Source organism: Homo sapiens, chromosome 2 (assembly GCF_000001405.40).
Source record: "Homo sapiens chromosome 2, GRCh38.p14 Primary Assembly".
Taxonomy (NCBI): Eukaryota; Metazoa; Chordata; class Mammalia; order Primates; family Hominidae; genus Homo; species Homo sapiens.
Window position 1 is genome coordinate 229717556 of NC_000002.12, and position 13353 is coordinate 229730908.

Sequence of the window (13353 nt, forward strand, 5' to 3'; positions counted from 1 at the left end):
GTAAGATAACTCGAGGCCACACACTAGTAAATGGCAGAGCAGGACTGATTGTTCCCAATGAGCCAGGCAGCACGACTAGTGATCTCACATGTACTATTTCTGCCAGGTAGAAGGCTGGATCCCATTAGAAATTCTAAGGCTTCTGGATTTGGTGGAAAGGAAGAATTTCAAAACAATTTACAGGACTCATTTCTCTTCACAGATCTAGTTTAGAGTTACACCTCAATTGCATTATACCCATAGGTTATTATAAAAATGTTACAAACTAATGCAAATATAATTGTCTTTATTTTTTGCATTTTGTCACAAATGGAGAAAATCAACTTTCCAGGCCAGCAGGTTCACAGGTAGCCAATTGGGAACCACTGGCCTCAATGAGAACACCACTCCTGATGAGGTTTTCATACTCTGTCCACCACGGCATCCTGTGAGAATGCTAGCCTGGGTGCACCGTGTCATCATTCACAGACTTAGAAACTTATATTTAGAAGAAATTGCAAAGGTTACCAAGCTTGATCTCCCAGGATTTGAACTAAGACCCAAACTAAATTATTTATCATAAGATGATAAATCCCCTCCAACTTACCTGGGATTTAGCACCCACCTTCTTTCCAAAGGAATCTAAGTTTTCTGCAGCCATCAGCAGATGGTCTCTCTATTTCCCTCTGCACCTTCATTTGCCTGTAGACAGTGACGTCATTCCTGCTACCCCTTCCCACATCCAGTTAACCTTTAAGGATACAAGAAAACATCCCTCCTCCCTGCAGAGGGTGGGACTGGATGCTGGATTGAAGCTGGAGTCAGCTTGAAAGAAAAAGTTGGCCACGTATAGAGAGAAGGGACACATTGCCTAGTGACAGCTTTCTACCATGAAGAACAGCACCAGCCTACTTTGGCCAGAACAGTTCTATCAGGACCCATGACAACACTGGGCAAGTTATTCTTTTTGACCTTCAGATGTCATATAACATGGAGAGGAGACAGAAACCCCAATTTTATAGAGCTCTAGGTGATGATAGTGGTGATGTAGAGTATTTACAGTGTACCAGACACTAATATGAGTATTCTTTACATATTATCTCATTTAATCCTAATGCCAGCATGATGAGGTAGGAAGTATGACTGGTGCCCAATTAAAGGACAAAATTGAGGTGAAATGAGCTGAAGTAAAATGTCTAAAGTCACTCAGTTTGCAAGAGGCATGGCCAAGACTCAAACATAAGGAGGAGTCTGGCTTAGGAGCCACGCTTTGTTTGAATCTCTACTCTGTATCTGATATATCAATCTCCTACAGTGCAGAGTCTGACACTAAGTAGATACTATGTATCCTTCAATGTAAAGTCTGATACTTAGTGGATATTGCACATGAGCTATAGGGACAAATATAGATATACATATAGAATATATGTACATATGTGTGATGTATATATCATATAAATATGGATGATGTATGTATTGTGTGTGATGTACATCATGTATGTATGTGTGATGTGCATCACATATGTGACATATGTATCATATGTCTGTATGTATCAATAATATATGGTATGATGCACGGTGCTTGCTGGGTTTTGGTTTATTGTGGGGAGGCACTTGAGAGTTTTAGTTAGTTTGCTCACTTGCCTCTCTGCAAGGTAACTACTACTCCTGATTTGTGACGGTGTAAGATGTGAAAATCGGAAGGGACTCTCCAAAGATCTTTTCTGAGGAGGAAGAGGATGCACTGAGGAAGCTAATAGCTGTCGAGGCTGAGTAGCTGCAGAACCAGAATGAGGCTCCAAGCCTCCAAATCACCAGTTTATGCTTTATCCACCTTCCCATAGTACCTTTCCTCCACTTCCAGTATTTCCTACAAAACAATCAATCAACCCAAAAAGGCAGTGTAAAAAATATAAATACTAAGTACATGGGAGTTTTAAGTGTCTTTGAAGAATCGTCATGAAGAATAAATGATTTGCATACATTATAGCCACAAGCACTAGGTAATTATCTTATTCCTTTAATTAGTAGTATCTTTATTAAAATTAGTCATTTAAGTGTTAGCATATATATTCAGATTATTTTATTCTATAATCAATGAACAATTCTTAAATTCTGTTTGAGACAGGTTCACATTTACTTTCTTCCCTCTAGACTTGCTCTGATTTGAATTAAACCATTGTTCCAGCAGCTGTTTAAAACAGTTTTAATTTATTTTACATTATCACTGTAATATTGATTTGATCTAGAGTAGGTTTAAATGAGGTCTTGAATAAAAAGACAGCAAGGAAGCATATCTTCCCTATATAAATATTTCATAAAGCACTTGAGCTACTTCCAAGTGGAAATCAGGTATTTTCACATTGATTCCTGATAACATGAAAATTATTTTAAACTCAATAACTGTTTTTAATTCCCTATACTGGAACATAGGATCCAGTGTCTCTTCTCTCTATACATGGCCAACTTTTTCTTTCAAGGTGATGCCAGCTTTAATCCAGCATCCAGTCCCACCCTCTGCAGGGAGGAGGGGTGTTTTCTTGTATCCTTAAAAGTTAACCAAATGTAGAAAGGGGTAGCAGGAATGACGTCACTGTCTATAGGCAACTGAAGGTCCAGAGGGAAATAGAGAGACCATTTTGCCAATGGCTACAGAAAACTTAGATTCTTTCAGAAAGAAGATGGGTGCTAAATCCCAAGTAAGCTGGAGGTGATTTATCATATAATAAATCCACATAACTGACCCGCAAATAAAGAGATGCAATTTAAGTCCTCTTCTTTGCACCTGAATTTATTCTGGGATCTGAAAATAGAGTAGTATCCAGTCTCTGGGTTTTCCAGACACAATATTTTATGCTTTTATTTCCATATAGAAGGTGTTTGTGTTAATGGCTTAAACAAATTTTGGGTTTATTCTCCCACATAAAAGAAGTCTGGAAGTTGTCAGTCGAGGGTTGATAACAGTGCTGATGACTCACTCAGTTATCAGCCAAGAAGCTTCCTGTCTCTACTACAAATGAAGCCTGAAATATCCAAGCTACATTATCACCAAATTGCCTATGGTGGGACATCTGTGGTTTTCTCCATCTAGTGAGTATCTCTCCTTCTTGGATAGCTGGGGCCCCATTTTGCCATGGGGAAACCAACTCTCAGCCCATGTGCTGCACATGAAACTGACCCCACTGCCAGGTCCAGGAGTAGCCACATGACCTAGACCTGGGCATTCCTCTGGTGACAGATTGGTTCAGAGATGGACATGTGACCCCAGTCACACACCATTGACACCAAAAGCTCAACAGAGCTATATGACACATACAAAAACAATTGATGCAGCCAGGTGCAGTGGCTCCTGCCTGTAATCCCAGCACTTTGGGAGGCTGAGGCGGGTGGATCACCTGAGGTCAGGAGTTCCAGACCAGCCTGGCCAAAATGGTAAAACCCCATCTCTACTAAAAATACAAAAAAAAATTAGCCGGGCATGGTGGCACACAACTGTAATCCCAGCTACTCTGGAGGCTGAGCCAGGAGTATCGCTTGCACTGGGGAGGCAGCCGTGTCAGTGAGCCAAGATCACGCCATCAAATTCCAGCCTTGGTGACAGAGCAAGACTCCATCTCAAAAAAAAAAAAAAAAAAAAAAAAGCAAAATAGGCCAGACGCACAGTGGCTCATGCCTGTAATCCCAGCACTTTGGGAGAGCGAGGCAGGCAGATCACCTGAGGTCGGGAGTTTGAGACCAGCCTGGCCAACATGCCAAAACCCCGTCTCTACCAAAAATCAAAAATTAGCTGGGTATCATGGCATGCACCTGTAATCTCAGCTACTTGGGAGGCTGAGGTAGGAGAAGCACTTGAACCCAGGAGGCGGAGGTTTCAGTGAGCCAAGATCATGCCACTGCACTCCAGCCTGGGAGACAGAGTAAGACTCCATCTCAAAAAAAAAAAATTAGCAAAATAATCCAGCAAATTATTTAAAACTTGATATATAATGACCAAGTAAGATTTATTTCCAGAACAAAAGCATGATTATCAGAAAACCTATTTACCTATATTAACAGATTTAAAAAGAAAAATACTATGGCCTTCTTCATAAATGTTGAAGATGCATTTAATAAAATTCAATATACATTCTTGATAAATAATAAAATGAAAAAAGATAACTGCTACCTTACAGTGCAACACTTCTGTCTCAACCCAAAAGTCAGCATCATGCTTAATGAAAAAATATAAAAAGGAATCCCATTAAAGTTGATAATAAGATGATACCATCATCATTATCATTTAATATTGTTTTTGAGGTATTAAACCTAACCAGTATTCAAAAGCAAATTTATAAATATTTAATTGGAGAGGAAGTAAAATTATTATATGCAAACAATATAATATCATACTTAGAGAATACAACTTAAAATATACTACAAACAATAAGAAAATTCCATAAGATATCAAAATAAATACACAGAATCAAAAACCCACATATATGCAAATAATAGCAGTTAGTTGATGGGGGGTGGGGAATCTCACTTACATCAGAAACAAAAAATTTTGTAATAATTATAACAAGAATGTGAAATACCTATTGAAGAAAATTTTTAAATATAATCAAATGACACAAAATAAACTTGGACAAATGTAAAGACATATCATATACTTGAATGGGAAGATGTGACATCATAAAATATAAATGCCTCTAAGTTAATATGTACATTTAACATAATAAATACAATCACCAGTGGAATTTGGTGAGGGAGAGTATGGAATTGGGCAAGCTGATTCTAAAGTTCATGTGAAAAATAAGCAACCTAAGAAAGCCAAGAAACTCCTGAACAAGAAGGAAATGGGGTGGAACTAACCAATATTAAAACATAATATAAAACTACAATAATTAAAATAGTGTGACACATTAAATAGACAAATTTATGGAACAGACTAGGAGTCCAGAGAAAAATATGCTAAGAGCTGGAAGGTTTGTTCAATGAGTTGTATTGAGATAAGTGAGTCATCACATGGAAAAATAATAGTATTGAATCCATACCTCACAACTTATACCTCAATAAACTCCAAGTGGATCAAATATGTCAAGGTAACCCAAAAGAACGAAGCCTTAAAAATGCAAGAAGAAACCAAGGCAGAATATTTTTGTAATATTGGAGTGTGACACATATCCAGAAGGCATTAAAAAAGGAAAGATCAAAACACGTGTCAACATAAAATTAAAGAATTTCACATGACAAAAATCACCATATGCTATATGAAAGCACTAGGAAAAATCATGTGCATACTTTCTCAAAATCAAAGGGCTAATTTTCCTACTACAGAGATATCTTCCATAAGGCAATAAGAAAGATCATTGACAAACTTCAAAACTTTCTATCCGTTTCAGCATCACCTCTCATAGTGCATCCCAGAGGACACTAGTTTCTTTAGATATTGGCCAACTTATTAGATAAATGCCTAGAAGTGATCATTTGTATTCTGCACAGCAGGTATGTGCATTTATAATTTCAAGAGATAGTGCCAGATTGCCCTCCTTAGACATTCTACCAATTCACATTCCTGCCAGTTAATGTGTGGGAGTCCCTGTTCTCTCCATTATAAGGTTTCATCAAAGTTTTTCATACTGGAAAATCTGATAGGTGAAAAACTGTCGTATTAGTCTGTTTTCATACTGCTGTAAATAACTCCCCAAGACTGGGTAATTTATAAAGGAAAGAGGTTTAATTGACTCACAGTTCAGCATGGCTGGGGAGGCCTCGGGAAACTTACAATCATGGCAGAAGGCGAAGGGGAAGCAAGACACATTCTTCACAAGGCGCCAGGAAGAAGTGCCAAGCAAAAGAGGAAGAGCCCCTTATAAAACAATTAGATTATGTAAGAACTCACTCACTAACATGAGAACAGCATGGGGGAACCACTCCCATGGCTCACATACTTCCACCTGGTCTCTCCCTTGACATGTGCAGATTATGGGGACTATGAGGATTACAATTCAAGATGAGATTTGGGTGGGGATACAAAGCCTAAAGTATCTCAGTGTAGTTTTCAAACATATTTCTTTTTGTTTTTTGTTTTTGTTTTTGTTCTTTTGAGACAGGGTCTCACTCTGTCACCCAGGCTGGAGTGCATGATCTTGGCACACTGTACACTCGACTTCCCAAGCTCAGGAGATCCTCCCACCTCAGCCTACAAAGTAACTGGGACCACATGTCCCACAGGTGCATGCCCCCATACCCTGCTAATTTTTTGTATTTTTGATAGAGAAGGGCTCTGTCACCCAGGCTGGAGTGCAGTGGCATGATCTTTGCTCACAGTACCCTTGACTTCCCAAGCTCAGGAGATCCTCCCACCTCAGCCTACTAAGTAGCTGGGACCACACATCCCACAGATGTGCACCACTACACCCAGCTAATTTTTTGTATTTTTGGTAGAGACGGGGTTTTGCCATGTTGCCTAGGCTGGTCTTGAACTCCTGAGCTCAAGCAATCTGGCTGCCTCGGACTCTCAAAGTGCTAGGATTACAGGTATAAGCCACTGTGCCAGCCTCAAATATGTTTCTTATCATGAGCCAAAATGAATGTATTTTCATATACTTCAGAGACATTTGCACTTCCTTTTTGTGGACTGATTGTTCTAAGAATTGAAACCATTTACCTTCCCACACAGCTTGTACCTGAGATGGGAATGACTCCCCACATAATCACACACACACACAAAGCCTCCTCTGTTGGAACATGATTTTATACTATCCCTGTCCTCCTTGGCATCGCTTTACTACTCCAGCACACTCTTCCCCAGGCAAATATCTTGATTATTCATGACTGAAACTTCTGGAAAGATCCATCGACACTTTAATAAAACCACCAACACTTTAAGCCCTAAAACATTTATCTCAAAATATTCGCCTTGCTGTTTCCACCAGTCCAAATCCTATTATTTCCTGATTCTTATGCGATCTTCATCAAGCCCCTGCATTGACAGACCTGCCTTAAACCAAACTTCAGATTCCCAGTAGAATCCAACTTTGCCTTTCCCACTCCAAGACACTGCTAAAGCTTCATGGAGCAACAAACTCAGTCTCTAGCAACTGCTGGTTTTTCTATTGCATTGCTAGATTTGTAGGAGTTAGTTCATGAAACTGAAATAAAACCAACTCAACTGCCAGAGCAGGAGCAAGAACAGAGCTAGAAAGGAAATAGGCTCCAATCTTGCAGAGTTGTGGACTGGGCTTATGTGGTGTTTTGTTTTGTTTTCTTGCAATAGAGAAGCTAGAGAATGATGTGACTGAAATGAGATTTTTTTAAAGATCGTTGTGGCTCAGTGTGGGTGAAGGAGGGAAGCAAGGATGGGTAGCGGAAATGCTGAAGGGATCAAATTTGGGAGGTGTTGGGGAGATGGAGGAAACAGGTCATTCAGACGCACTGGCCATGGAGTATGATTGAGAGAAAGGAGTCCAAGACGACACCTGGGTTTGGATCCCAAACAACCAGGTAAATAGGGTTGCCAGTTCCTGAGATGGTGAGGAGTGGGGAAGGAACAGTGAGAGAGGGGAGGTGGTGTTTGTGGTGGAGGTAGAGAAGTGGTTACTTCAGTAGGCGGGTGGTGGAGTCTCCTGTACAGGCAAGGGTGAGTGACAACCTATGGGGCTGAGAGAAAGAAGGGAGAGGAAGGACTCACTAGAGACAAAAGTGATGCTAAATATTAACTATGTTTCTAACTAAATAGTCTATATGCAGTCCTTTTGTAGCTATTTCTAATTATTTTAACAGTAAAGCCATCCAAATTACTATTTTAAATCAACAAAGCTGGCCAGGCATGGTGGCTCACGCCTGTAATCTCAGCACTTTAGGAGGCCGAGGCAGGTGGATCACTTGAGGTCAGGAGTTTGAGACCAGCCTGGCTAATATGGTGAAGCCCCATCTCTATTTAAAAATACAAAAATTAGCTGGCTGTTGTTGTGCATGCCTGTGGTCCCACTTCTCGGGAGGCTGAAGCATGAGAATTACTTGAACCCAGGAGGCAGAGGTTGCAGTGAGCTGAGATCATGCCACTGCACTCCAGCCTGGGTGACAGAGCGAGACTGTCTCAAATAAATAAATAATAAGCAGAGTCATTTTATTTTACTTGGTACACATAGTACATTCCTACCACACATTTTCAAAAATAGTGCCACTGTTTGGGCTCATGTCCTTGCTCAGCAAACCTTGTGCTCCTATTTAAAGGACAGCATGTCTCTTCACATATTTGTTATAAATCTTTTCAAAGACACTAATGAAATAAGAGGATACTCATTTTTTTTAAATCTAGAAATTTTAAGCTTAATGGATTTCCAAATAAAATCAGGAACTCAGAAGACAGTCTATGCACACTCTATTCTTGCTGACAATGCACAAGAGAAAGCAGCTTTATTTTATGAAATCTAATTAAATGACTACAGGGAAAAGCTAAAGGAGTTGGTAACAGGCAGAAGTTTTTCCTTGTGAGCACTGAGGGCTCCAGCTTTCTGGGGCTGCCATGGCAGTCAACCTTCAACCTGGTGATTAACTGAAGTGTGGGACCCACGTCACCAGCAAACATGATCACAGCATCACGTGACCTTTTGTGCGTCAGGGGGTAATGTGTAATCTGAGCAATGCTCAAAGAATGGGCTGTGAATAGTAAAGGACGTTCATATAACTGTGAGCCACACTGACTGCAGTCATTTATTTCAAGATTACGCCAATTTATTTAGATGCAAATGTCACAGACCGATTAAAAACTAGTCCATTGCACATATTCCATTTGCTGCTGAGATGAGAATTAATAGACACAAGCCAGACAACATCTATATAGGTGTGACACCTCATCAGAGGAGCAAAGTGCGTGCTCAGTCACTTTTCTGAATGCACAAATTAGCCCAAGGTGAACTTGTCCTCTCTTCTACTGCAAATGCTCAAAGGAATGCCCTTGATTTCACCTCTTTTCATTACACTGTATTATTAAACTATCAGGATTTTGTAGCATTGTCCTAGTTATCAACTATGATGAATTTTAGAATCAAATAGCTAAGCATGCTCACCACGTAATCTATGCACCACAGAATAGTTTTTGATTCCAGAAAAAAATGATAGATTTTTTATACTGAATCAGGCTTACATTCTGGGAATAAATCCCAAAGGACCATAGGTGGAACTAATTGCTTTGGAACTGTGAGAACTGGGCAGAGCATAGGGGTCAGGGTTGGGGACATCATCAGCCCACAAGCTACAGAGCCAGCAACTAAAAGTGAACCAGCAGAGAGCATCCAGGGACAAACAATCCAGCCAAAGGGTCAGGTCAAAGGCATAGGACCAGAGGCAGAGTCCAGGCACAGGGAATGGGTGCCAACCAGGCATTCCAGATGAGAATGGCAAAGGCCTCTGGGTGGGCTGTCCCTTACAGAGCTCTATCACACTACTGAATGTTATGAAATCTGCACAGGCCAGGCACGGTGGCTCACACCTCTAATCCCAGCACTTTGGGAGGCCGAGGTGGGCAGATCGCTTGAGCTCAGGAGTTTGAGACAAGCCTGGGCAACAAGCCCTACCAAAAACCCAAAAATTAGCCAGGCATGGTGGCACGTGCCTGTAATTCCAGCTACTTGTGAGGCTGAGGTGGGAGGACAGCTTGAACTCAGGAGTTCAAGACAAGCCTGAGCAACATGACAAAAACCCGTTTCTACCAAAAACACAAAAAATTTGCCGGGTGTCGTGGTGCACCTGTAATTCCAGCTACTCAAGAGGCTGAGGTGGGAGGATTGCTTGAGCCTGGGAGGCGGAGGTTGCATTGAGCCATGATTGCACTATTGCACTCCAGCCTGGGCAACAGAGTGAGACCCCATTTCAAAAAATAAATAAATAAAATCTGCATGGGATTTTACTTCTCTCTAGCAAAGTGATAGATAGAAAAGGCAAATGGCAGCACTGGTGCAAAACTTGGGCCTTTGCTGGGCAGGAGAATGTTTTACCTATATTTCTAAAACACACAATATGAAGTGCTTGATGGCCATTCCAAAAGTACGAGTTGTCCTTGAGAAAGGATAACACATGAAAAGTACACTTCTAAATACTAATCTTTCTGATCAAATATATATATATTTACTTGTGGATATGTATATCCACAAGTTTTCCATAGGAGTCCCAAATTCTAGTTACCAAATCAGAATGTGTTAACTTCTAACAAGTACAATCAATAACATATATTCATTAAAAGTAATAATTCCAACTGTAAGCCTTTGTCTTAGAAACTAAGAGGAGGAGCCAGGTGTGGTGGCTCACAGTTGTAATCTCAACATTTTGGGAGGCTGAGGTAAGAGGATTGCTTGAGGCCAGGAGTTTGAGACCAGCCTGGACAACATAGTGAGACCCCATGCCTACAAAAAAATTTTTTTTAATTAGCCATCTGTAATGTCACATGCCCATAGTCCTGGCTACTCGAGAGGCTGAGCTGGGAGGATCCCCGGAGCCCAGGAGTTTAAGGCTGCAGTGAGTTATGATTGCACCACTGCATTCCAATCTGGGTGACAGAGTGAGAACTTATCTCAAAATAAATAAAGAGGCTGGGCACGGTGGCTCACACCTGTAATCCCAGCACTTTGGGAGGCCAAGACAGGTGGATCACTTGAGGTCAGGAGTTCGAGACCAGCCTGGCCAACATGGTGAAACTCTGACTCTGTCTATACTAAAAATACAAAAATTAGCCAGGCATGGTGCCATACACCTGCAGTCCCAGATACTTAGGAGGCTGAGGCAGCAGAATCGTTTGAACCCAGGAGGTGGAGGTTGCAGTGAGCCCGAGATCATGCTACTGCACTCCAGCCTGGGCAACAGAGCAAGACTCTGTCTCAATTAAAAAAAAAAAAGTGGATATCCAAATGGACATTAAATATATGAAAAGATGCTGCTCATCCACATTAGTCATCAGGGAAATGCACATTAAAATCAGAATAAATATTGTTACATATCCACTAGAGTGGCTAGAACTAAAAGGACTGACAATGACAGGCATTACAGAGCAGTTGTGACTCACATACATGGCTGGAGGGAGTGTCAATTGGCACATCCACATTGGGCAACTTCTTGGTGGTATCTACTAAGGTTGAACCTAAACATACCCTATAACTTCACAATTTCTCTCCAAGGTTTCATTTACATCCCACAGAAATATGGGTCAAAAGCATCAAAATGTTTATAGCTACTTTATTTGTAACAGCCAAAGACTGGCAAAAACTTAAATGTTCATCAACAGGGGAATAGATGAACAAATTATAATAAATTCCTACACAGGAAGATGATGCATCAGTAAAAACCCTAGAAGAAAACCTAGGCAATACCATTCAGGACATAGGCATGGGCAAGGACTTCATGACTAAAACACCAAAAGCAATGGCAACAAAAGCCAAAATTGACAAATGGGATCTAATTAAACTAAAGAGCTTCTGCACAGTAAAAGAAACTACCATCAGAGTGAACAGGCAACCTACAGAATGGGAGAAAATTTTTACAATCTACCCATCTGACAAAGGGCTAATATCCAGAATCTACAAAGAACTTAAACAAATTTACAAGAAAAAATCAAACAACCCCATCAAAAAGTGGGCAAAGGATATGAACAGACACTTCTCAAAAGAAGACATTTATGCAGCCCACAGACACATGAAAACATGCTCACCATCACTGGCCATCAGAGAAATGCAAATCAAAACCTCAATGAGATACCATCTCACACCAGTTAGAATGGCGATCATTAAAAAATCAGGAAACAACAGGTGCTGGAGAGGATGTGGAGAAATAGGAACACTGTTGGTGGCACTGTAAACTAGTTCAACCATTGTGGAAGACAGTGTGATGATTCCTCAAGGATCTAGAACTAGAAATACCATTTGACCCAGCCATCCCATTACTGGGTATATATCCAAAGGATTATAAATCATGCTGCTATAAAGACACACATATGTTTTTTGCGGCACTATTCACAATAGCAAAGACTTGGAACCAACCCAAATGTCCATCAATAATAGACTGGATTAAGAAAATGTGGCACATATACACCATGGAATATTTTGCAGCCATAAAAAAGGATGAGTTCATGTCCTTTGTAGGGACATGGATGAAGCTGGAAACCCTCATTCTGAACTAACTATTGCAAGGACAGAAAACCAAACACCGCATGTTCTCACTCATAGGTGGGAATTGAACAATGAGAACACTTGCACACAGGATGGGGATCATCACACACCGGGGCCTGTTGTAGGGTGGGGGGAGGGGGGGGATGGCATTAGGAGATATACCTAATGTAAATGACGAGTTAATGGGTGCAGCACACCAACATGGCACATGTATACATATGTAACAAACCTGCACGTTGTGCACATGTACCTAGAACTTAAAGTATAAAAAGAATTATCCATTGAAGCAAATCAATAATTTTTAAAAAAATGAACAAGTTACATTGCCATGGAACAACATAGTTGAACCTCACAAAATACTGGAAAAAATTAATGCATAATATCAGAAATCAGGATGAGGGTGTCCTTGAGAGGAGAGAAGAGCTCATAATGGGAGGAGGCAATGCCAGCATTCTAGGGTGCTGGTGCTGTTCTGGTTTTACATAGATTGTGGTTCTATGGGTATGTGAGAATTCATGGAGCTGTGTACCCTTATGATTTCTGTACTTCTCTGCATGTTTGCTTTACTTTAAGAATAATGTTTAAAATTTTTAAAAATTGGAAGAAAACCCATCAAGGGTAACTTCCAAGAGCCTATAGAAAAGCTCCAATGACCTCCAAATTCTTCCTGTTTGTTCAGGTGAGTCTTCAGATCCTACCACTGGATTCATTCCTTCACCTGGTCTTTATAGGCAGCATACATTACTTCAACAAATATTTATAGAGGGCCTATTGTGGGCCAGGCACTGGGCTGAAATTCAAAGATGAATACAACAGGTTTGTAAATTCTCAGGGAGTTCACAGCCTGAAGAAACAGAACTGCTTTCTAATCCTGTACTCTGCTAAATGCTCTCTCATACATCTTCTCATTTAATTCACATTTCATTGAACTCAGTAACCCAGTCCATAAATCAGTGGCAGGGGCCTAATAAAAGCTAATTCTTATGAACTGCAGGGCAGGCATCTTGCCTCTACACCAGGCTTGGTAATATGTCGTGTATACCACAGTAGGTAACTCCTTGCTAACCCACAGCAGGCATCAATAATCTGCCAGGCTCTCCCTGGCTTTGACATGGCCTCCCAATCCTCCTCCTCATAGCTCAATAGACAATCATTATAGAACAATGGGGATTTGCCCAGGGGATGCCCCTAATCTACTATTCTTGAATCAAAGCATCAACTACTTTTTTTTTTT

General features: G+C 40.6%; 1 annotated feature.

Moving 5' to 3' along the window:
• Positions 9100-9601: an enhancer, noted in NCBI's record as "H3K27ac hESC enhancer chr2:230591371-230591872 (GRCh37/hg19 assembly coordinates)". NCBI's record gives its function as "activates a minimal SCP1, AML or CMV promoter by ChIP-STARR-seq in naive H9 embryonic stem cells {active_cell/tissue: H9 hESC(naive)}" and the evidence as "EXISTENCE:reporter gene assay evidence [ECO:0000049][PMID:30033119]".